The sequence below is a fragment of the Homo sapiens genome, chromosome 21, assembly GCF_000001405.40.
Source record: "Homo sapiens chromosome 21, GRCh38.p14 Primary Assembly".
Taxonomy (NCBI): Eukaryota; Metazoa; Chordata; class Mammalia; order Primates; family Hominidae; genus Homo; species Homo sapiens.
Genome location: NC_000021.9, coordinates 15,832,198 through 15,858,906, shown reverse-complemented (window position 1 = coordinate 15,858,906; position 26,709 = coordinate 15,832,198). Strand labels below are relative to the sequence as shown.

General features: G+C 34.3%; 1 protein-coding gene across 18 annotated transcripts in view, besides 1 other annotated feature; it reads right to left on the bottom strand.

Annotated features, from left to right (window-relative positions):
- Window positions 1–26,709, bottom strand: part of USP25 (ubiquitin specific peptidase 25) — a 150,083-nt gene that overhangs the window by 21,158 nt on the left and 102,216 nt on the right. For 8 of the 18 annotated variants that reach the window (NM_001283041.3, XM_011529529.2, XM_047440745.1 and 5 more), the window contains 4 exons: window positions 25,359–25,559; window positions 16,367–16,509; window positions 11,131–11,244; window positions 9,035–9,130 (listed from right to left, as the gene is read on the bottom strand). In NM_001283041.3, coding sequence (NP_001269970.1) covers window positions 9,035–9,130; window positions 11,131–11,244; window positions 16,367–16,509; window positions 25,359–25,559 — 554 coding nt within the window. Of the gene's footprint in view, window positions 1–9,034; window positions 9,131–11,130; window positions 11,245–16,366; window positions 16,510–25,358; window positions 25,581–26,709 lie in introns of those variants that run through there. The other 10 variants (NM_001352560.2, NM_001388301.1, NM_013396.6 and 7 more) reach the window with 5 other exon arrangements.
- Window positions 18,003–18,297: a silencer, noted in NCBI's record as "tiled region #15533; HepG2 Repressive non-DNase unmatched - State 15:Elon". NCBI's record gives its function as "represses a minimal TATA promoter and a strong SV40 promoter by Sharpr-MPRA in HepG2 cells {active_cell/tissue: HepG2}" and the evidence as "EXISTENCE:reporter gene assay evidence [ECO:0000049][PMID:27701403]".

Here is a 26,709-nt window from a genome sequence, read left to right as displayed (position 1 = left end):
AGAAGGAGAAATCTATTCAGCATCTTAATAGGTATATTATAAAATTTCTAAATTTCAATACCAATCAGTTTAGCTGGAAACCCTTATCTACTAATTTGAGAGTATTTTAAAATTCATAAAGCGGAACCAAAACTACACATTATACATAATACTAAAACACTGGAGACATTAAAATCAGAAACTAGACAAAGGCACCTACTACCATTATTTCAATATTGAGAATATGTAATAAAAATTTCTGATCACCGCAATAAAACCAGAAATGAAATAAGAAATAAAGATATAGAAAATAATTTTTGGGAGACAGTTTACTGAAATAATCAAGAAAATAAAATGAAAAACCATTAGAAAACAAAGAGTTCAATAAAGTTAACTAAATACAACATAAACATGTAAAATTAATTATCCCGTTACCTACCCTTTCAATAACCTGGTTAAAAAAAAAATGGAAGTAAATGACCCTATTCATAAAGGCAAAAAAAATTATGTAGGAATAAATTAAACAAAAGGACATAAGACTATTATGAAATAAAATTATAAAACCTCACTAAAGAACACAACAGAAGACAATAAAAGTGAAAAGGCGTATCATGTTCCTTTTGGGCAAGACTCAAAATACTAAAAAAAAAATTATCTGCTTCATGTTAAATTAATACATAAATACAATTCTAAAAGGATTTGGAAAGGAAGTGGCAATTGATTTTAAAAATCATCAGAAGAAAAATGAGGCTTGCCAAACTTCCTGTTTATAAAAGAACAAAAATTACTAAGTGTTCTTCTAACAAAATGTGAAAGTGTATTACAAACGATCTACAATAAGATCACTGGTATTCAGTGTATTGTCCAAAAACAGAAAACTAGATCAGTGGAATACAGAGACCCAGTTAGAGCTACTTATAAGTAGGGATTTAGTATATCATTAAGTATAAATCCCTGATAAGGGATTTAGTATAGGTATGATTTAGTATATGTGTCAAGTCAGCGTGAAAAGGAGGCATTAGTCAGTATTTTATGTTTAGACTATCTGGATATTTTACTATTCAGAGAAAACTAAAATCTTCTATCCTGTAATCAAAACAAAAAGTATTATAAAACCATGAAAGCAGCAGAATTAAAATTTTGCATAATTTTATAAGTGATCACAGGACCAAATCTATAAAAAGAGTTGCTGTATTTTATAAGATCTAAAAAATTATGTATAGTAAGACACAAAAAATAAATTTAAAAGACAAATTATAAACCACAAAATATAATTTGCAAATTACAGATGAATCAATTGTCTTAGAAGATCAATGTTCACTTAACTAAAAGAAACTCAGTGTAATAAACGTATAAAGATGAATGACAGTCAACATAAATACCAATTGCCAAAATATTTATGAAAAAAACTGACCCTCACAAAGATCAAAGAAATACATTTTGAAATATGAGATTACATTTTTAATGTCTTTTTTTAGGCAAATATCAATAGTAGAATAAATCAATATAACTACATGTAGGCAATTTGATAATACTAGTATTTAAAATTTGCAAGCACTTTGACTTGTCAACTCTGCTATGTTCACGCAAGTGTTCAATAATATATGCACAAAAATGTTCACGATATTGAAAATAACTCAAATATTCAGCAACAACAATGCTGATAAATTTAATAAGAATAGGTAACAACTTAGGTGTTCTTTATGTGACAGACACTGCCTGAAGAGTTCCACGTGAATTATCTCATTTAATTCTCAAGATAACTTCTCATATAAGTGAATAAACTGGTTCTGATAATTTAATAAATTGCCTGAGGTCACAATTATTAAATGATAATGTTAGGATTTAAACCTAGGACTATGGAGACCTTGCTGGTAACAGCTAGTAGGAGACAGTTTCCTAAATTAGAGTATGAGTAAGTTATCAGTGTGCTGACATACTGCTCCCATCAGCCTCTATGGTGGGTGGAAATGTATTAACTTTCTTCAAATTTGTTGTAACATGAATACCCTATTCTAGGAGAATATTTAAATAAATTTTGATAAACCCTAGGAAACAAAGGAAAAATACTGAGATAAATCTACAAATCCTGATATGAATAATTACATATACATGAAAAATAAACTCAAGAAAAAGAAGCAAATAGAGTATACTTCTGGCCGGGTGCGGTGGCTCACGCCTGTACTCCCAGCACTTTGGGAGGCCGAGGCAGGCGGATCACGAGGTCAGGAGATCGAGACCATCCTGGCTAACACGGTGAAACCCTGTCTCTACTAAAAATACAAAAAATTAGCCGGGCGTGGTAGCGGGCACCTGTAGTCCCAGCTACTTGGGAGGCTGAGGCAGGAGAATGGCGTGAACCCGGGAGGCGGAGCTTGCAGTGAGCCGAGACTGCGCCACTGCACTCCAGCCTGGGCGACAGAGCGAGACTCCGTCTCAAAAAAAAAAAGAAAAAAAAAGAAAGAGTATACTCCTACTTTTATTTAAATTATAAATACAGGATGAATGCCTGAATGTAAGCCAGTCTCATCTATCTCTCTAGGATATACAAGAAACAATGAATAGATGCTCACTGTGGAGTGAGAATTAGGAAGTGAGAGAAAAACATTTACATTCTACATTTTGGATTATGTATTACTAGTTTACAAGTCACTTTTTCTAAGAAGCCCTCTAGGTACTAGCTCTGTTTTCTTATTTTATGTTCTTTTTCCACATTACACTGGTTCTTTATCATACTAATAACTCTAATTAATGTTTCTTTCCCTAGCAGAAAATGAGGTTCATTAAGGTAGGAACTCAGTCCATCATTATCCCAGCTACATCCCTGGATTTAGGACAATGCCCTGCATATAAACAGGCAATACCTTTTTAGCATGTCCATCAACAGAAGGATAGAAAAAAATTATAGTCATACAACAAAATACCATGAGAGGGAAGAAATGACAACTGTATAACATGGATGAAGCTCCAAACACACTGTTGAGTAAAAGCAGTCAGACAAAAAAGGACCTAGAGTAAAAGATGCCAAGTGTATAAAGGCCAACAAGAAAACTAACGTATGTTGTTAGAAGTCCAGATAATGGCTACTTTTGGGTACGGACAGACTGTAGTGATGGGAAGGCGGAAAAAAGGTACTTCTGGAGTACTCCTGTTCTACCTCTTGGCCTAGTTGGTGGTCACATGGGTAAACACACACTGTGATAACCCAGAGTTGGAAGTACAAGTCTGAGAGCCTAAAGGCAGGATGTGTAACTGACTTGAAAGATGTGGCACTTAAAACTCAGGCTACAAATGTACACAACCAAGAGGAAAAGAGTCTTCTTTGGCTAAGCATGGAAATGTTGGACCGCTGTCTTGAATTTAACAAGATGCATGGAGAAGTATATTTTTTGCATTAACGATTTAGGCCTGCGTATACCTTTAGGGAACAAGATTTCATTAATACCATGTTGATAAATAATTCTTCCTCTTCACATTCCTTAAAGGCCATGTAAATAAGGAAAGTATCACTCAAAAAAAAATTCACCGAGTTGTACTTTTCAACATGTTTTATATTCTAATAAACATTTTTATATCTATTGAATAAACAAGGTGATTAAGAGACATTTCAAAAGCAAAAAAGGGTGATAAAGTTACGGCAAGTAGGGACACCATTATTATGAAGCAATGAAACAACTATTAAGAAAAAATTTTTATAATACAAAAGTATTACTTCAATAAAACCCTAAGGGTACTTTGATACCGACAAAATTTTTACAAAAAAAGAAATTTTAATGTCTTTTAAAATAAATGAAAAAACTTACACTAATCCCATAATTGTAATTATAATATGACCCTCCCACCTCTACACATATATACAAGCAACGAGTACTTTGAAAATATTTTGTTTTTATCTTCTGGCTTTTATTTTTGCTTATCATAGTAACTTTGTATTGCTTTCCTCTGAATTTCATTTTTACACAACAGAATCTTCTCTCCGTAAGCCACTATTATTTGGGGATTTTCTATAGTAGAAACTAGTTTTAACCATTAAAGTCAATTTGAAGAAGGACTCAAGTTAGTGTAGTGTAGCCCATTGCATTTTTTTTTCCAGATCAACTTTGCCTATTAACTTTTTCATACTGCATTCTTATTGGGTAGACGTTCACGTGGGATGATGGCCTGTGGTTGAAAGAGTTCCTATGACTGGGTTGGTAACTTCCTAATTCGGAGGTTAAACTTTAGCAAGTCCACTTACTCAGACCTAAGTTTCTTATAACAAGGCTGACAGTGGCATCACTATTCTTATCACTAGCAAACATTCAGAGTATTAAAAAGTTGGTCTAATCATAATACATAAGGAAATCCATATTCAGAAGTACCTAAACAGGCACAGAGTTAAAAAGCTTTCTTTCATAGCCAAAAAGCTAATGTAAAATAGACCCGACCAAGATTTTTTCAGGACGTGGCAGGACAGAAGAGATATTAAAAAAAAACAAAAACACGGCCGGGCGTGGTGGCTCACATCTGTAATCCCAGCACTTTGGGAGGCCGAAGAGGGCAGATCACAAGGTCAGGAGTTTGAGGCCAGCCTGGCCAATATGGTGAAACCCCGTCTCTACTAAAAATACAAAAATTACCTGGGTGTGGTGGCGGGCCCCTGTAGTCTCAGCTACTCAGGAGGCTGAGGCAGGAGAACTGCTCGAACCTGGGAGGCAGAGGTTGCAGTGAGCCAAGATCGCACCACTGCACTCCAGCCTGGGCGACAGAGTGAGACTTTGCCTCAAACAAAACAAAACAAAACAAAACAAACAACTTTTCCCTCAATTTATAATACACTAAGCACAAAAAAGAACAAAAATTTAAAAATACTATATCTAATTGAGGGGAAACAGGAAGACAGAAGCAGCAACCATATGTTAGATTCTATGGTGTGTACATATTTTATGAATTAATACTGAATGATGATGATGATTAGAATCAATCAAAAAAAGGAAGAATATTTAAACATGCCAATAACTATGGAATGAACCAAAAAAATGTGTTAAAAGATCTACCCCGCAAGAAGGCGCTAGGCTCGTATGATCTTACGAGTGAGTTCTAACTAACAGAACAGATCATTCCAACGCTAACACGGTTAAGTATTAAAAAAAACAGGAAAGCTCTCAAATTCATTTACCAAAGCTAACATAACCCTAATTGCAAACTTGATGAAGACAGCACAAAATAGAAAAACACCAAATTCATTTAATACAGAACGCAGAAAGCCCAAATAAAATGCTAATGAGTTAAACAGTAAGCATTTGAATTTAAAAAATAAAAATTTACTAAGAAAAGTATTTTAAGTAAGTAGTGGGAAAATTTATATAACTTTGGGTAAGAGTAGATCTTTTAATATGGCAAAAAAAATCCATAAAGTAGGAAAACGAACATACTATTTTAAAACCTGTTTAAGAAAAAGTACTCTAAACTAATTCAAATAGAAATGGTAGACTGGGAGAAAATATAGGACACATGTCCATAAAGAGGGTAAGATACAAGAAATGAGAATATATCTATAGCATGGAATACTGTGTGGGTGTACATGTGTGCATGTGTGTGTACATGTATGTGTACACGTGTGCGTGTACATGTGTGTACCTGTGTGTACACATGTGTACACATGTGTATGTGTGTATACAGACAGCTAGTAAAGATAATGTGATACTGTCTAAACTTTAAGCCCACAATAGATTTCTGAGTGATATAAGTTACAAAATATTATGAACAGTAAAATCTACATTAAAAAAATTTTAAGTCTCTGTATATGTGCATTGTTATAAACAAAAAGAAAAAAACAAGATACACAGTGCTAAGAATGGTTACAATAGGGCCATGGCAGTGGCAGAGACTGTCATTGTTAGTTTTATTTTAGACACCTCTATATTACTGAATACAACTGCATTTTGTATACATTACTTTCATTTTTTATACGAAAAAATTTTTAAGGTGACATATTATCAGCTAGAGTTGTGTCCAAATGCTTCTACCTTTACCAAAAACATGCATTAATTAGAAACAACTTGATGTATGTTTACATAAAGGGGTTACACTCATGTATTACTCAATCACAGATAGGTGCAAATGTACACAAACTTCAGAAATTTTATAAACATATACACACACTAAAGACATAAAAAGGTAGAAAGAGGGTTTTATGATAGTAATTATTAGGTTAAGCCAAACAAAACTGCTAATTTTGTTACTCCAAAATGGTACTGACAATTTCTAACAAATGAGTTAAAAAAATTCTATTAGCAAATAAAGGTCCTTGACACAGATATGGCACATTCATTTTTCTCATTTTTCATCTCCGACTATATGTGGACCAGAACTGGACACATAAGATAAGCTTCGTGATAATACTAACAACAATAACAGCTAAATTCTGAGCATTTACTATCAACCAGATACTACTTTAAAAGCGTAACATTGATACAATTTATTTAAAGCTCACAATGACTCAATAAAATAAATAGTTATTTAACACCTCGGGAAACTGAGATACAAAGATTGAATAATTTGCCCAAAATCAAAGCTAGAAAGCAGTCGGCCCAGGCAGTCTGGCTGCTAATATCAACATATAAACTACTTCCTTCCTAATGTACATTCCCACTATTCTTGTAAGTGTTTTTCCAGCAGAAAAAAAAAAGCAAGAAAGGGAGTATGATGATAGTAAGGAGAATGGTTAGTGAAATAGAAATTCTGTAGTAATTATTTTTAACATCTGACAAAGAGCACAGTTTCCTTATGCTATGAGTAAAACGTCAAATTCGACTCAATCTCCAAAGCAACTTGAAAACTTTTACCTCAGATTCACTGAAGTTTATTAACCACAGTATTTATTTAGATTATGTGCTGAGAGTTGCAATATAACATAACTTATTTAAGAAAATGCTCTGTCCCTCTTCCACAAACTTGATTCTTGCCCATGCTTTCTTGCTGTACTATCAAAATCATAGAGCAAACCAATAAAGAAAAATATATGAAATATGGAAAATACACAAAGGAAAGGATGCAAAGGGAATCCCCAGAATGATGGTGAAAGGAGATCTCAAGTTACTAGTTATGGATCAGGAGAAAAGAAAAACCAATACAGATTGGGGCAGGTCATAAAGCTCCAGAATAGATGTCCCAAGAAGATAAAACTGGTAAAGGCAGAATGAGAGGAGATTTAAACAAGCAGTGGACAGCTTTGAACTAAATCAGTAATACACATAAACTAAGCAAACCAAAAAACAAAACAACTAAGTTTAAGGAAAACAAAAGTTAAGGGAAAAACAGAAAGTAGTAATATTTATAATATAACTCAATCACATATAGCATACATAATAATATTACAAATGCAGAATTCTGATATAATCAAAATTACAAGATTTTACGTGTGTGTGTGTGTGTGTGTGTGTATGGGGGATAGGAGCTGTGTCTCTCAGTGTATGTATGCGACGCAGGAAAAGAAAGAGAGCTCATCATTCATATTCCACAGAAGCAAATTCAACAGGTAATGTGTAAACTGTGAATAAAAAACCCAAATATTCTATTTAAAGATATGAATTAATGCCAAACAGATTAAATAACTGAAAGTCATTATCCACTGGGGGCTTACTAACTGTTGTAATATATACAATTAGGTGATTATTTATATGCAGATATTAACTTAATAAAAATGAGATTTGCAATTCAACATAAGAAGACCCAATCTGGTCAGAAATGACAATGGCACTGTAAATCATAAATAACTTTTCCACAAGAAATAAATACTTTAGAGGACATATATTCAGTGTTTTTTTTTTAAGAAAAGAAAATGTAGACTATCTGGGCATAAGAAGGAATTTCTAATGGTAAAAATTAGGAAGCCAGTTAGAAACCTAGAAACTATAAAGAAATGTATTAAAACAGAAAACTATAAAAAATACATTTTTCTTCTTTTTTTAGAAGTAGATTTTCAACCTTTCTTATGGGATCATAATAGGGTGATCAACTTGTCCTGGGACCAGTTTGCTTAGAACTTTCCCAGTTTAGCACTTTAAATCCTGTAGTCCAGGAAATCCCTCAGTCCCGGGCATATCAGGAGAGTTAGTCACCCTAATCTTAGCAAACTCAAAAATGCTTATTGATAGGTCTACTACTATGTACAAGGCTTTTGTTTTGTACTGTATACTGAAAGAAACAGTGAAAAAAGAACCAGTTTTTGAAAGACCAAGTTGGATAATGGCAAAATACAGAAAATGAAAAATGTTAGATTTTTAATGTCAAAAAGAAAGAAATGCATAGTTCACTGTAGCAAACTGGACCTCAAAAAAGCTGCTTTTTAAAACCACTAAGAAGGGTTTGAAAAGAGTGAAAAAAAAAAAAACTTGAAGATTTTCAGTTAATGTAAATAAAATGACAAAACATACATGGTATTTTCATCTTTCAAATCTGTAAAAGGAAAAAATTGTAATCAAAACATTGTAAAGCTCTGATATTAGAGGGAAAAAGATGTGGGTAAATCATGGAATCGTGTTCAGCTTGATGTTCTCACATGTCTTGAACTGACTAGGTTATCAAAAATTAATTATGGGGAAACATAACAAAAATAATATAATAAATAAATCATTTTATAAACGAAAAAGCAATTTAGTACCTAATGATAATAAAATTAAAGAATATTATGATATTGACCAATAATATGAACAATGAAGATAAAATAAACTATTACCAGGGCAATTTACTCAGTTCTTATTATTGTTCATTAATGTCCTCATTCCCTTCAAATAAAAAATACAATTCAAATTTCTGCTGACAAATCAAAAGCACACTATTAGAGTGACTCAAATAAAAAGATTTTTTTCTTGAATTACCTGGATTAAGAGAAAAACAATCAGTATTAGGTTAATTAATACATAAAATAAAACCCTAGGATATCCGGTGGCCATAACTAAGATAGGAAAAGAGAAATTATACAGAAAACCAAACTGAATTCAAAGAAATAAAATATTTTAAGAAGTTTAATTTTGAAAAAGAAAAGACACGAAAATGAAAATGTTCATTGTACCTTAAAGAACCCTGCTTCAGGGCCACACCTGTCATATACACTCCTGGATTTACCTATCGCCATGATAATACCTTGCATGTTCGGTGTCATCATGATCTGCCACAGAAGATAGTTAACATTAAAAAAAGGTTTTTAAACTAAAATAATTTATTCACATGCAAGCTGAAACTCTTTTGTTTTCCATATTTATAAATCAAATGTTGCACTTTTAATACCAAATTTAATCCAATATGCATGTAAGCACCTTTTAAGATCATCCATACAGGGCACAGCTGGCTCATACGGAGCCTTTGTGCAAACTGCAAAAAGGCATCCTCTCTGAATTGGAGAATTTGAAAAAGGCACCCTGCTTCTAGACAAACAAATTAGAAAAATGTGCTATCCTCTGAGTGAACTATTTAGAAAAAGCAACATCCCTTTTTACCAATTAAAAAAGGTACCTCTTCCTCAAGCCTCAGAGAGCTCATCATGAACTCAATTTGCTTCCCACTTCTGCCCCTTGTCTAGTCATCCTTGCAGAACTGTACAACCTGCACATCCCTGAACAGCAGCCCTGTATCCATAACAACTCATTTTTAAAAGTTCCAATGCACATGCACTGTTAAACTGTCACTGCAATAAATTTTAAAAAACGACAAAACACACAACTCTGTCACATAAGCACTTGCAAAAAAGATAGTGTTAAATGATTAATCACAATTCAACTTTTTTAAATGAGAGAGGGCACATCCTAAAACAAGTACTTAACTGCTTAATCAATAAATTGATAGGTTTATTAAAAACATGCCAGTTCCCATAATTTTCAAGAGCCAGCATGTTTATAAAATAGTTAACTAGAACAATGTAGAGCCATTAAGTACAAATACTTAAGCATTTTTTTTGTTTTCATAATAGCTTATTATTTTTAGCTGTTTACATTTTAAAATATCTGCAAAGTGAAATTACTCAAAGCCCTATGAAGCTATCTTACAGAAATCAAGAGATTGCCTCCGTCACCTCTGATTCACTGAACCTATTACTCATTGTATTTACTTTGGATTATATACTGAGAATTGCAATATATCTAACACCTGCTTGAGAAAACTCTCTGACCAGTTTATCTCACAAATCTGCTTATTCTCTTTATGGCGTGTGATTTCTTACACTGGTACAGTGATATGTCTTTATGACACTTCTGACTTTGGTGATTAACTCTAGCATGATAGTAACATTGGAGTAAGTCAGAAAAAAAGTTACGTGAAAAAAAACTTAACATAAATGCAATTCTTATACAAACCCACAAAAACTAGAATCCAACAAGCATTTTTCCAAATCACCCCCCTCCCCCACTACCCAATAGTTACGGCCTCCTCTGTGTTCCTGTTCAAAAACAGCTTTACTGGCCGTTCCTCAAAAAGAGTAATATTAAGTGTCTCAAGAGAAAAGTGGAAAAGGGGAGAAAATCATCTGATAGAATAAGACAATAGATCATTTTCATCTGGATTCCAAAGAACTAAATCATGAAAAACAAAAATGCCTCCATACTGTTGGAAAACTAAGTAAATGAGAATTAACAGTGAAGAGATAAGAATAAACATGGAGGTCCTATTAACGGTAGGCACTCAGTAACGGTGATGACTTACTCCACTCACAGTCACATGGAGAGGCTGTAGAAGCAAAAATATCAATTATCCATCCTGCAATCATGCTGTGGGATTTTCTGGCAGGAGATAGTGGGAAAAGGATTATAAGTAATTCCAGTAAAACAAGAATGGAATATAAAAAATTATTTTTAAATGCAAAAAATTTTTGTACTAATTAAACAAATCTTATTGTAATCTGCCAACCTGGAAGTAAACTGGTACTATTTCTGCATAAAAGAATTAACTCCACAAACAGAAAATTCTTTTGACAAATTCCATAAGTTTTCTACTTAAATTTTCATTTGAAATTCAAAGTTCTGTTAATAATTGGTAAAGTAATTTTGGACTATGAGGGGGCAAAGCTGTATGTTATGTGGCAATAGACATTAAGTATGAGGGTGCAGGCATGCCCAAAGTATTTGTATTAAATAGCAAAAGTTAAGTAGCAATGGTGCAGAGGGCTGTAAAAGGTACCTCGTCATCATACCCCCCCTCCTTTGATTCAATCATAAATTTCCCTACATGAGGGATCGCCACCTCTACAACTCGCTGATTAGAAAGTGGTTGGCTTGTAGTATTTTCAGGTTTCTGCAGAAGGAAATCATTAATATAAACATTAGAAAAGAGAACAGTGGAGAACAATGGCATCCTTGCACAACTGTATAACCTGCACATCCCTAAGCAGCAGCCCTGTATCCATATGACTTATTTTTAAAAGTTCCAACGCACATGCACTATTAAACTGTTTAAGCACATACTCTTAAATCTTTTAAAAATACCTGCATTGACTTGGTATCAAATGAAACCACTTAAAACTGAACATCAGAAGCAAATGCATTCATCAAGTAGTAATACAAAATCTGCAGTTTTCCCTTTACATCCTCAAACTGGGTATTACCAATATCATTACATTTTTCCCTGAAAGTATTTAGAACTTTAAGTACTTAAGATAAAAAATAGTGGAGTTGTATTTTCTATTATTGTCTGTATAGCTGACAATTTTTTAAAAAGTCCAATAGCTCCCAAAAACCTTTCTTGATATCTCAACCAAAATAAGATATGACCTCCTCTAAACTCATCAGAATTTGTAGGGTTTTTTTCCTTATAATTTTATCCTTCTATTGTTTTTGGTAATCAATTGTGTATCCAGTTAATATCCATATTCTATTTTGTTTAACTTATTATATACAGCCTATGAGGCTCCAGTATATTTATATCTTAAGTGTTCAACAAACACCTGCTGAAAATAAGAAAAAGCTGTTGGAAGCTGATACCCATTTTTAACAACTCAATCAGATTTATTCCTTTTTTTCTTTTTATTGTTAACAAATTCTATGTATTTCAGTAATCTACACTAATACAGAAGTCAGTGTAAAATTCAGAAAATTTCATTCAAAACTTCATGACACTAATATGATTCATTCAAAATACCATACAGATGTTTACATACTTATTTATCTTATTCAACATATTTATAACTAGCATATCCACTATTTACCTATTAAAAAAGCCAAAAGTACTGAAGGTGCTTGAAAACAACTTAAGTAACTGAATTGCATAAGTTTTCATACACAAAGATAAACTTTTGTTTTGATATTACAAAAAACATTTTTATAACAGCAATTAAAGAGGTTTCATTTCCATTAGAAATATGGGTAAATTTTAGCAATGTGAACATTTCCTGGCTTCCTGGAAGCATATATAGAAAAAGAGTTTAACTGAACAATAAAACAAAACAAAACCAATAGCTGCAACTGGTACTGCCCCTTTTAAAATAAACACTATTTTTGGCATGGCGTGGTAGCTTAGACCTATAATCCCAGCAGTTTGGGAGGTCAAGATGGGCGTATCACTTGAGGTCAGTAGCTGGAGATCAGCCTAGCCAACATGGCGAAATCCGTCCCTACTAAATATACAAAGATTAGCCAGGCATGGTGGCACATGCCTGTAATCCCAGCTACTTGGGAAGCTGAGGCATGAGAATTGCTTGAACCTGGGAGGCGGAGGTTGCAGAGAGCTGAGACTGCACCACTGCACTCCAGCCTGGGTTACAGAGTAAGACTCTGTCTCAAAAAAAAAAAAAAAAAAAAAATATATATATATATATATATATATATATATATATATACACACACACACACACATATATCAAAATCCACAACTTATCCTTAATTTATCAAAATCCACAACTTTTCAACAGGAAATGATCAGCATGAACAGGTATCATGATCATGAGAGATAATATGCAGCTAAGCCAACACCAGGTATGTAACGGCTGTTCTATAAAATGACAGCTATGAGTCATTGTACTACTTTGTTGTGCTACTTTAAATTGTTTATATTTGAATAATTTTAACCTAATACTACTATCACACACATTCTACAGAGATGTGCTTGGTCCATGACATTTAATTAAGGATTTTTAATCTTTCTAGCATATAAGAGACGAACTGTGCTAGGTCTCTGTACACAAGAGTGAAATATAAACAGGTAAATTCAGAAATCTGTTCGGAGTTTGTGGTGATGATTTCTCACTAGCAAACCAATCCAAAACAATTCTATCTTAGGAAAAGAAAATATAAATTTGAAGCAAATGGTTATCACTTAGAATATTAATCCTTACAAAACAGATTCCCTTTGGGGGAAAAAAATTGCACTTAGGGAACATAAATGTTTTATAAACCTTTTCAGTTACTATTGAAGAATTTCAACAGCATAATGCTGATTAAATACATGGGTAAAAGCTGAAAGGGGGAAGAAACTTTGCCACATATAATAATTCTGTAGTATCATTTGCCAAATTTAGATATCCCAAAGTACCATAAAAATTTTCCATGTAAAGAATTTAAGGGCTCACTAGAGTAAAATACATGTTTATTTATCTTTTTCTATTGTTTTCAGGTCTTATATGAATACATTAACAAAGGCTAAACTTGAAAAGAGTTAAAAATAAGTTTCTCAGTTAATATGCTGCAAAAATAATTAAAATACGAAGATTTTTATGACTTGCCTGAAATCCATTAATTATATGACTTCTTAAAAAGTGGTCTCATAAGAAGGGTGACAAAAAAGCTATCTAAGTCCACGGCCACATTAATGTGCCTTTACCTTTTAAGCTAGTAATTCAACCATGGGAAATCTATTCTAAGGAAATAACCTGAAATATGAAAAAAGTTTTCATTTCTAGCATGGGAAATCTATTCTAAGGAAATAACCTGAAATATGAAAAAAGTTTTCATTTCTAGCAGCCTATTTATAATGTAAAAGTAGACACAAATATACGATTGAGTAGCAGATACATAAACAAGAAGTTAATTATTCAATGGAATAATACTCAGCCACTAAATGTTTTCACTGAGTTTACAACATGGGGAAATGGTTATAAAAGGTAAGTGATTAAAAGAAGGCAACACAAAATTTTGTATGCAACTCAACTATAAAAATAAATCCCAAATCTACATATTAAAATAAAAGTGAAATAAATACCAACATATTTACAATAATTAACTATGAGTAGTGAGTGGGACTATGCATGACTTTTTCTCAGGGTCTACTCTTCTATATTGAAAATATCCTAAGTATTCCATTTAAAATTAAAGACATTTTTCTAAAAAGCAGGGTGCCTAAACACTTGAAGACTTTCTCTAATTTCCATGATTCTACGCTTTCCAGGAAATTTTTCTTATATTAAAGTTGATTTTAATATATTGCATATTTGAAAAGCGGCTAGGACTGATGTAACAGAAGGAAACCAACAGTTACTCAGTGCCTACTACATGCCATGCCAGGCACTTACAAATAATGCTCTTGACTAATCCTACAATTACCTTCATTTTATGGAAAAGAAGACTGAGGTCTATCTGGAGAAATTTGGCAATTTATTCAAGGTTGCATTCATAATAAATAAAACTAATATTCCAAAATCCAGAAATGTTTAATCCCAAAGTCTGAAGATACTTTTCACCTGTGCAATTTAGCTTCTAGTGTACGCTAAGTTTAAATGAAAAAAACCGCTATGAAGTAGTTACCATGACGCTAAGCAACTGACTGTAAGATCAAGCCACGGTTAATGAATTCTCAGACTTGCTTCAGGATTTACATATGCAATGGGGCTAACTGTGGATGCCACTCCAGAAAACAATTAAATGAATAGACAAATAGTGTATTTGTCTATATCATATAGTCTCCCTGTCATCCTCCTTTCTGAAGTAAAGATGAGGTAGTAGGTTGCTACCTTATAAGACGATATCCATATTATGAAGCTGAGCAATCAAAATTTAGCTGACTTCTGCAAATTTAAATTCCATATGATTTTCCAAACTTAAAATCAGGATTCTACATTAAGCTAAGTAATGCTTTTGGTTTTCTAATACCAGCTTAAAAAGTGACACTCATTAATCATAATTTAGGCCTTTAACAAATAAAAGTTCTAATTAGCAGAGGCCTTGCAAATGCAGTTTTTGTCAGACAAAACTATTTCCCCTTGTACCTACTCCTCTGTTCTTTCTCCTTCCCTAGGTTTTCCTCTTACCATCACCCAAGAAGCAGACATCCCAGATCCACTAAACAAAGCATTTTCCAGGAAAAGCTTTAGAGTTAGTGATGTTCACATCAAATTCATTTAAAGCTTCTAAGGCATTTGCAAAATTTGGAATCATCAAATATCTATTTAAATTAATACATTTTAATAAGATGATATATTAATACATTTTCAAAATTGTTCAAACAAAAAATAATTTGTATTGTTATTTAGTTCATCAAAACAAAATTAACAGAGTACCATATCTCTTGAACATTTTGGCTAAAGGAAGTCTTATTATATATTTAAGGCCTCATTGCAATTAGCAGGTTATTGCTGGCACTGAATTCACTTACTAAGCAGAAAATTACGTGTTGTAAAATTATGATATGTCGTACTCTTTTTAGTTGTCAAGGGGAATCTTCAAATATTAAAAGGAACTACCACAAAATCTGCATTAGAGCTGCTTATGCTCACTAATAAAAGATAAATGACTACAGGAACTAAAAGGTTTAGTAGTAACAAATTCTTGAAATAGCTTCTCTCAGAATGCCATATTCACTGATAACACAGTATAACACCAAACATGCTCAATTTACCGCTATAAAAAGATGTAGTTGAAAACTACAATAGAGTAGCCTAATGACGTTTTTGCACAGGACGTTCTTAAAATATTCACAAACAGTTTTGCAACATCCTACTTATCCTTCTAATAATACTCTAATCTACAGTATCTAGTAGTTTTAAATAATACTCTAATCTACAGTATCTAGTAGTTTTATTGTTAAACACATTTCATGAAATTATGACAATTAGGTCTTAAATTCTCAACTATTCCCATGTAATCAGATTACAGATGGAGGAATGGGTGAGAGACAGGAGAAATACTGCTAAATTTTACACTTCTCTTTTTAAGTTCCAGATCAAATGGTCAATTTAATCTATGATTATGATTCATTAGAATTCTCTAGCAGAAAGACAGAAACTTAAGAGAAAAGTGTCTTTAAAATCACAGCTGAGGAAATCACAGCCTGGGCATGAGATGACTTGCCCATGGTCACTGATCATGCCCATGGCAGAGCCATCACTGGGCCCCGTCTCTCCTGACTCCCTGACAGGTCCCTCTCCACTATACTGGAGGAAATGTCGTGACCATGGCTATGTTCAGAGAGCCAAAAGAAAAGTTCTTACCGACTGCAAAACTGTTTCAGGACTTTTATCTTCATGCTCATGTGATGCCTTGGTAATTATTTGAATAGTTTCTTCTTTCAAGTGCTTTGAGAAATCACTTCTTGATGGCTGCTCTAGATATTCTGGGTCTCCTGCTGCTTGTGCTTCATGAGAAAAGAATCAATTATATATCTAATATAAACCACAGAGTCTATACTAAGATAAATCTTTTATTCATTTCTATGTCTGAAGTTATGTAAGAACCAATTTTAGTCTTCCATTCAAAGTAAAATATATCTTTCCACGTATAGCACTTCTTCCCAGAATTTATTAAAAAACAAAAACCCAGAACTAAGAGTACTCCAATAATTATGAAAGAAAGCTCTCATTATAGTTTATGGTAAGGAATTCACAGTAAATTTTTCTGCCATGAGAAATAACAAAAGCTCATTTTGGAAAATTGCCAGCATTTTACCAAAAGAATTTGGTTTGAACAGCAATCTTGGGCTGACTTTCCATAGAGTGCACAGGAGCTATTTTTCTCTGGCCACAGCATCTTCCTTCACACTTCCTGACAAAATCTTAACCCTGAATGAACCTAACCTTCCATCTTTTCTGTACTTGCCCCAGTAGCTGAGTGTTGTCAGAGGAAAGGCAAACTGGTACCAATAAAAATTCACGATATCTCCTATCCATCTTTTGAGTTCCAGACTTATATATCCAACAATGTACAATGAACATCCACTGGGTGTTCCCTAGATGAGACAAGCCCAAAATCCTTACATGACCTAAAGGGTTTATCTCAGTGAGTCTCTGACAAAGCAGCCAGTCTCTGTCTCCATGAAGCTCACAGTCATCTGTGGAGAACACCACTAACCAAATAATCATATATATAAATTTTGACAATATTATAACACTTTATATGGGAACAATGGCAGTGAAGTGATGTGAGCAATTTGGATGTGACCTAAAGTGACCTATTAAGCTGAATAATGAATGAGCTGTTTTTCCAGGTGGAAGAATGGAGAGTCCATGCAGTAAGCATGGACTACATTCAAAAAAAAGAATAATATGACTGGACTACAGTATGAGAGTGGAGAAATGGCAAGAGATGATGCAGGTATATAATATAGTACATAATATAATGGCAACATAGCAGTTTTTAAAAAATTATTCTGGGGATATTGTGAAGAACGAATTAGAGAGGAAAGTAAAACTAGAGATCGGTGAAGGTAATAGAAGGCAGTAGAGCAACATGAAAAAGAAATAAATGTGCTTTCTGATTAAGAGAGAGAGCAACAGGGGGACACAAAATTGGCTAGAATCAAGACATATTTTGGACACAAAGGTGTGGAGACTGCACATGAACACACCAAGTTTTTGACAGAGTTAACTAAGATCATGGAGGTAAAACTATGTGATAAGGAAAACCAGAGGTGAGGATGCTTACAATGTGTACAAAAAGGAAGGAGAGAAGTTAAAAGAAGTTTAATGTCCTCATTAAATCATTTCCTGATTTTGGACTGCAATAGCCTTTCAATGCCCATGAGTAATAGATAAAGAAAATCTTTGGCTACCATCAGCTTAGCAATACTTCTGCTTCTGGAAGACTTCATGATAGGTGGCTCATGCCAGCTGCTTTAGGGCTGGGAGAGAAACTCCTTGTTGATAAAACTTTTCCTTGTGTTTGGCACTCTTCCTCTCTTCACCATAGCAGATAATGTCAACGGTTAATAATTGGATGTGAACTTAAAGCAATAAATCCATCTGGTCTGACATTGGTCTAATGACCCACTGAAACCTAGAATCTTTGTAAAATTGGTTCTTAGGACCAAGAGTAATGTTATCTGATCAACACATGTCAAATCCACCTTAGGTCACCAGGGCCAAGGTTTCCTTCCATAAAGGAGTTTGAGTACAAAAACGTTATGAGTAACACTGAATGCTTCTGGCTAAATGTCATACAGAACAATTTTCTCTGGGGTTTGCCCTATGTATATACCTCCTAGGGAACTTAAGTGAGTGGTTTCGTTGTCACGGGAGTTGAACCTACAATATTTGACACCCTGGGAGATTGGAAACAAAAAATTCAAATTGCATTCCCAACATGTTTATTGAACCTGTGCCATTTTCAGTACTATATTAGGTATTAAAAATATAAAAAACAAAAAAGATTACATACTTCACTAATTTTAAGGAACTCTGAGTAAAATCTGATAAATATACATTCTATTATAATACAATGTGCTAAATTCAATAAAAGTTACGCACAAGGTTTTATAAAAGCACTGTGGACCCAATACACATACTTGAGATAATGCTGCCTGTTAAGAAACACTTTCTAGAAGAGGTGCTAACTTAGATGAGTCTTGAAGGATTTGTAGAGGATTATCTTGGAGAAAAGAATAGAAAAGATTCCAGGCAGAAGGAATAGCACATTGTAAGGTCTGATCAAAGATTCATAAAATCCCTGCTATATATGAGACTCTACACTGGAAGGCAAGCCAAAATATAAGTACAATAGAGAAGAACATAATACATTTGGTAGTAAGAAAAGGTTGGAATTAAGAGGGAAAAGACAATAGCTACTAGAGAAGTGCTCTCAGAGAAACTCACAAAGACTCTGGGATATGAGGAAGATCTTAAAGAATATGAAAAAATTCATGAACACTAAAGATAAAAGAACATTTTTAAGATGAAGGATACTTCATGAACATGCCATAATGACAGGAAAATTTCCTATATGCAATAGAAACGATGAGTAATCTGGTGTAGATGAAACACAGGCTACTCACAGGGAAGTGGTCTTAGAAGAATTACAAGGGAATCAGATTATAAAATAAAGTCCGTATAAAAAAACTGTCAAAGAAGACAAAAAAAGAGGTTTTGTCTTCAATTTATCAAACCAAAGAATAAAAATGTTTACTAGAACAAACAAGAAAAATGTGGAAAATTTAAAACTCTTTGCATTACTCAGAGATAAGCACTATTAATATTTCTGATACATTATTTCCAGACTGTACCTACCTACTCATATTTTTAAACAAAAAGAATTACTCTCTATTCAATGTAACATGTACTGGTTATATTGTGTTGTTCTGTATGGAAGGCTCACGCAACTAATACCCTACCATACACTTTAGTAATTTCTATTTCTGTGTTAGGAACAACAGCAGAACAAGTTCGGCTTTTACCATATAATACAATTGTTGTTCATCCTCTAACCCTATTAAAAACCCCATCACTAGTGGCCCACAGCTATAAATTCCCTAAATGCCATACAGAACAATTTTCTCTAGGGTTTTCCCTGTGTATATACCTCCCAGGGAACTTAGATGAGTGGTGTTGTAGTCACGGTAGGTAAACCCACAATGGTTTGAAACCCTGGGAGACTGGAAACAAACAAACAAAAAATTTAAATGCACTCATTTCACCATGAATGACCAGTTCTCTATGGAGGTAAATAATATCCTTATTCCTAAAGTCTCTCTCCAATCACTCATCTGTTCTATGGGTATTTCTCTAGGATTTTCAAATGACTGGCCTCCACAGAGTGATTTTCCGGCCATGCTTCTCTAGCTGTTATAGAAGACAACTCAACATTCTGAGGGAACTCTGAGTCTGCTCCTTTTGTCCATCTTCATGTTGAAACAGGCTATTGAGGAGGTTTGGGGGTGCTTTACTTATGCATATTTCCTGGTTATGGTCTTCAATCTTTTAAGAAGGTCAACTTTACCACCAATTGGCTTTCTATTAAAGAGTAAGGGTTGCTCTTAACTATAAAAATAAGACCAACATCTCTGATATCTTTCAGAAGTCTTTATTTTTTTGACTTACTAGTAAGTCAATACTTATTACGTTCACACTGAAGAAGATTTAAAGCGGACTGCTTGAGAGATACACAGTGCATCCATTTCTAGAAATGTATTTAAAAGTCCACAATACCCTGTAAGAGCCTACAAAGAGCCACGCTTAGGTGGTTGCATAGAATCGCTGGTGGAATTTTTGAAACTTCAGATTCCTGGGCCCCATTCCGAAGAAAGTCTGAGGGGTGTGGGGGAGAGAGGTTTAGAAACCAGAGTCAAACCATAAATTTATCCGGGACAAAGAGCTACATCCTCACCCCATGTATTTGGCCTGCCTCCTTATTGTGTGACTATTTTGTTTCTACTTTAAAATTTTATGTTCTCCTACACTGAGGATCACCCCTAAGAAATTCATTATTGGAAATCTCCATAGGGAATGAACTTATTAACAGAAAACTTTCAAGGAACATCTATCATATGTCGTTTATTATACTAGATGCTGGAGATATAAATAAGAACACCACCAGGCCTGGCATGGTGGCTTCATGCCTGTAATCCTAGCACTTTGGGAGGCTGAGGTGGGAGGACTGCCTGAGCTCAGGAATTTGAGTTCAAGACTGATCAACATGGTGAAGCCTTGTCTCTACTAAAATACAAAAAAATCAGCCCAGTGTGGTGGTATATGCCTGTAGTCTCAGCTACTCAGGAGGCTGAGGCACAAGAATTGCTTGAACCCGGCAGGCAGTGAGCTAAGATCATGCCACTGCACTTCAGCCTGGGCAACAAAGTGAAACTGTCTCAGAAAAAAAAAAAAGAATATCACCTAGTTCCTGCTTTCAAGGAATCTGAGAACACTGACGATACTGTTTATTCTACCAGGTCTTACTCTCAGGATCCAACCGTACTCTCCTGGAACATCAGCTTATTTTTAACTTGTAGACAGTGTAGAGAAGTTCCAGAGCCAACTCTGCCTGCTTCCTCTAGAGAAATTTATAAAACCTTACGCAATACACTTCATTCCAATCTTCACTAGTGTTTCCTTATTTTTTAAAGAAATCTGGGTGTGCTATATTGTAAGGACTTCAGATACTTCTTGGATAAGACAAGAGTAATATAAGTAAAATAGTAACTCGGACAACGCTCTTCTCTCCAGCATAATTTCTGTTTTATAAATACAGCCTAGAGCCATGCTGCTTAACCTCAGAATTATCTGAAGATCTCTTTAAGATAGCACTGTATCAGATCCTTTCTCCAGAGATTCTGACTCCAGTGTCTCTTAAGTGGCCTTAGGTAGGGTGTGCTGTTCACACTCAGAAAAAAAAACCCTACTCACTCTGATCCCCACACTGACAGCAAAGGATGGCTGGCTGAAAATCTCAACAACAGTATTCAGGTAAGTTTGCTCCCCTACTCACTCTGATCCACACACTGACAGCAAAGGATGGCTGGCTGAAAATCTCAACAACAGTATTCAGGTAAGTTTGCTCCCCTACTCACTCTGATCCACACACTGACAGCAAAGGATGGCTGGCTGAAAATCTCAACAACAGTATTCAGGTAAGTTTGCTCCCCTACTCACTCTGATCCACACACTGACAGCAAAGGATGGCTGGCTGAAAATCTCAACAACAGTATGCAGGTAAGTTTGCTCCCCTACTCACTCTGATCCACACACTGACAGCAAAGGATGGCTGGCTGAAAATCTCAACAACAGTATTCAGGTAAGTTTGCTCCCCTACTCACTCTGATCCACACACTGACAGCAAAGGATGGCTGGCTGAAAATCTCAACAACAGTATTCAGGTAAGTTTGCTCCCCTACTCACTCTGTTCCCTACACTGACAGCAAAGGATGGCTGGCTGAAAATCTCAACAACAGTATTCAGGTAAGTTTGCTCCCCTACTCATTCTGATCCACACACTGACAGCAAAGGATGGCTGGCTGAAAATCTCAACAACAGTATTCAGGTAAGTTTGCTCCCCTACTCACTCTGATCCACACACTGACAGCAAAGAATGGCTGGCTGAAAATCTCAACAACAGTATTCAGGTAAGTTTGCTCCCCTACTCATTCTGATCCCCACACTGACAGCAAAGAATGGCTGGCTGAAAATCTCAACAACAGTATTCAGGTAAGTTTGCTCCCCTACTCATTCTGATCCCCACACTGACAGCAAAGAATGGCTGGCTGAAAATCTCAACAACAGTATTCAGGTAAGTTTGCTCCCCTACTCATTCTGATCCCCACACTGACAGCAAAGAATGGCTGGCTGAAAATCTCAACAAAAGTATTCAGGTAAGTTTGCCTTTGCAGTAAGCAGATCTAGGGAAGCAGCATGAAATGAACCAAAAAATACTTTCCCATCATTTATTATCTCAGTAGGGAACGAATGGTGCTGGTGAACTGATACGCATGAATTTCTCGATCACATTTTAGCAGAAGAGGAACAAATACTAATTTGATTAATATAATATGAATTAGTACTCTTAATTGGAATATCACTCAGTAGAAATTGAATTTTATGAGGTCTTATGTTTCAGCTTTAACGAGAAGATTTTGCAGGGAGGAAAAAAATCATTCTGTTGGATTTTATGAACAAGATTTCCTTTTATTATTTCCACTAGTCACTGGTAATACTAGTGAACACCTGAGAGATTAAAATACAGATTTGCTTTGAGATCCTGGAAGTATTATACCAAATTAAATTACTTACTTTGAAAACCATGAGAAGAATCAGAAGAGGATGGCATGGACATTAAAATAAAATTTCCCTATTAATAATAGGGAATAAATGGTTCTAATGAAACATTAGTCTTATTCAATTATGATATGTGAAACTATCCTGCAACAGAGAACAAATTTCTTAATATAATCTCAAAGATAACAGTAATAGAAACCAATCTTTTAAACAACAATCTCACTCTGTAAATTTATGGACTTGGCATGTTCTACTTCTACTAATTCAAACCAAGTGCATATTTCCGTCAAGTCTATGGAGGATACAATGTTTCCTACAGAAGTAGTATTACCACTGCTTTCTAAATAACCCACGCTGAAAGGTAACTATAAAAGTTATCTAGGAATAGGAATTGACCATTTCCATCTCTTCATCTTTTATTCTGGTTCCTCCCAGAAATATATCAACATTCTAAGATTATTTTGCATGGTAAAAACAGACATGAAAATATATGTCCAATACCTAGTACTGCATTTTTTAAAAATTACAAAACACCATGTAAAGTGTATGGTCAGATGTATTGATCATGAAAATGGATGCAGTTATGCACACATGGTCTTTTCACAGAGAAAGAAAAAAGATGACAAATGTAAAATGAGGATGGGGCAAGGCTAGTCCTTAATAGATAGGAATATTAGTTGGAAATATGTATTCGTTTGACTAAGCAGAAATAAAATATGTTAACTCTGAAAATTTGGAGAGATGAGAAACAGACAGGATGAAGAGGAGGAGGATATATAGAACTTAATATTTTGGTATCACAAAATATAGGTGAGCCAAGAATAAAACTGGAGCTTAACCAATGAATGGAGGATTCACCTGTGTCTGGGAGCTTAGGTACCACAACTGCTTATAGTACACTATGCAGCCCCTTCCTCCCACTAATAACAAGAATAGTCACATGTGAATGGAATAAGTAAATGTTAAGGGAACAATAACACAGTAGCTCCATCTTGGGGCAGGTTCTGAGGAGTGATTTGGAAAGAATATGTACAGAATGCAAAGCATGAAATCACAAAGGGACAGAAATGTTTTAAAAATGAAAGGAACTATAATATAGTTACTACACTGTGATTTGAGCTTAGATACCTCTTGACATCTACTAAAAACTACATTGTTGTGGACCCACATAGCTTCACCTGCTCTACGCGGTAGCCTTGTACACGTGGGGGAAAAGTGCAGCCCTACATAATGGTAGAGTTCACCAGCCACTATAATGGTGGTATTCTCCATAGCACTGTAGTATCCAAATGTTGCTGTGATACCATTATCTTTTTAAAAAATGCTGAATTATCTGCCTCTCAGGATCAAAATCAACGACAATTATTTGATCTACATGAAAATAAGTTAAGTATCTGGACAGATTTGTGCATGCCTGCGACAGTCACAATACTACATTGTAGCACTGTAAAACAATCTTCTATTGAAGTAATAATTCCTTCTAAAGTTCAAATGATAATGCTGAAGCCCAACCAGGTAATGCTGCAAGGAAACCTCTGTCTGCGAAAGATGAAATTAAACAAACAAAAGCTGGAACTACTTCCTTAAAACACAAAACATGCAGATCTTGCAAAAAAAAAAAGTTATTCAATAATATCCACTAGCAGTTATAAAAAGAGACAAATGAGTTTGAGGAAAATATATGCGCTTAATTTATAGCTTCTCTGAGAAATAGCATTTTCTATACCAGAAAACATGTTGCCCTAAAACATATTTGCAACTCAGTGAAGAGTAATCTTTTAAGAAAATAAAAAGACAATATATTTTCAATTTTACTAGAAACTATTTTCTTAATTCCTATACAGTGTTTACTTTGACTTATTGATTTCATCAGCTAATAGTTCATTTCAGAATAATGTTTTTAAATATTTATATGTTTATGCATTTATATCTTTGGTTTACAGGTCTATACACTTACTTTTTACCTGTGATATACTAAATAGTTTTGGTCAATTTTCTCTTAATCTTAAGAATTCCGAAAAACATCAAATAGTTATTAATGGTAGTATTTTACTATTGCACAAAGTATATATGAATATACCGGTAGTATTATTTTGGCCAAATTTAAAATTACTACTCTTGATAGCTTTATTGAATTGATACTCTTGATAGCTTTATTGAATTGATACTCTTGATAGCTTTAGTGAATTGGTTTGGGTTTCTTGCTGATTTCACAGCTTTCTCTGCTACTTGCCAAGAAAATTCAAGCCCACCCAACACAGGCAGAGTAGGTAGAGGGAAAGTCAACAGAATTATCTCATTTATCTTGAAAAACATATAAATATATACAGTGGTGTCTGGCAAAAAGGTAAACTAAATTGTTAACTGTGATAATCTGAGTGATGGAATTTGAAATGATTTCTACTGATTTCCTCACACTTTAAGATAGCTAAAACTTTTTAATAATGAGCATATCTTATTATAAAAATAATATTGATAATCAAACACAACTTAATAAAAATGGACAAACCTGTTGTCACAGAAGTCTCTGACTCTCTCAATTTCTGAGACGCTAAAAGCTTTTCCTGCAAAGCTTTCTGGGCAAGTTGTGCATCCCATTCTTCTAGTTCTTTTTCAAATCGTTGGTTGTCTTCCTCAACAAAATCTCTCAAATCCGGTGGTAATGTTTCTATACCAACAAGGGGCTGCCCAGTTTCTTTATTAAACTCCTCTGCAAATCATATTTCAAAAACTAGTATAAAATTAAGAATTAAAGGGAAAATGCAAAGCTCAAAATAGACTGCATTTCAAATAGAATTTAAACTATGAATTATTACCACTCAGCCAATCATATTACTTAAGAATTACTATTGCTTAGCAAATAATTATTATCTACAAAACTTTTTAAAACTCAAACAAATGCTCAGAAAAACAATGATGAAAATATTTGATAATCCATCATAGGTAATGGTCTCAGATTTTTTTTTATCTTAAGAGTAGAAGTGACAGAAAATACAAAGCCAAAGCCAAGTTTTTTGTTGCTGTTGTTGTTTGTTTTTTTGAGACAGAGTGTCATGCTGTCACTCAGGCTGGAGTGCAGTGACACAATCTCGGCTCACTGCAACCTCCGCCTTCCGGGTTCAGACGATTCTCCCGCCTCAGCCTCCCGGGTAGCTGAGACTACAGGTGCCCACCACCAAGCCCGGCTAATTTTTTTGTATTTTTAGTAGAATGGGGTTTCACTGTGTTAGCCAGGATGGTCTCGATCTCCTGACCTCATGATCTGCCCACCTTGGCCTCCCAAAGTGCTGGGATTACAGGCATAAGCCACCGCGCCCGGCCATTTTTTTTTTTCTTTGCTACTCTAACAGTGATGTAATACTACTTCTGCCACTATTGGAAAATACCAGATGTTTGATCACTTAAAAAGTAAAACTTTTCACAAAATGTAAACAACTCATAATCATGTTAACCTTATTAGCTCAAAATAAAATGAAAATTGTTTGTCATATGAAGAAATTAAGTAGACTTAAATATGCAATTATGAAAATTAATATAGCAAGATCTTAAAAACAATAGAGTATTCAGAAGAATTACTGAACTTCTACTACACACACAGAAAAATAACTTCATTTTTTTAGTCAGAAGTGGACTGCCTAGCTGATTCTGAATGACTAAATATAAAAAGATTATTTTTATCAGTTTCAATAAACCTTTATTATTTTCTATATGCAAAGCATATATCAGAATATCAGCATTAAAAAGATTCAGACATAGTATGACATGATCTCTGGCTCTGAGCAGATAAGAGAGAAATGTGCAAGACAAGTCATCACACAGTTCCAATACACAACAGTAAATGCCCAGTAGACAGATGCCAG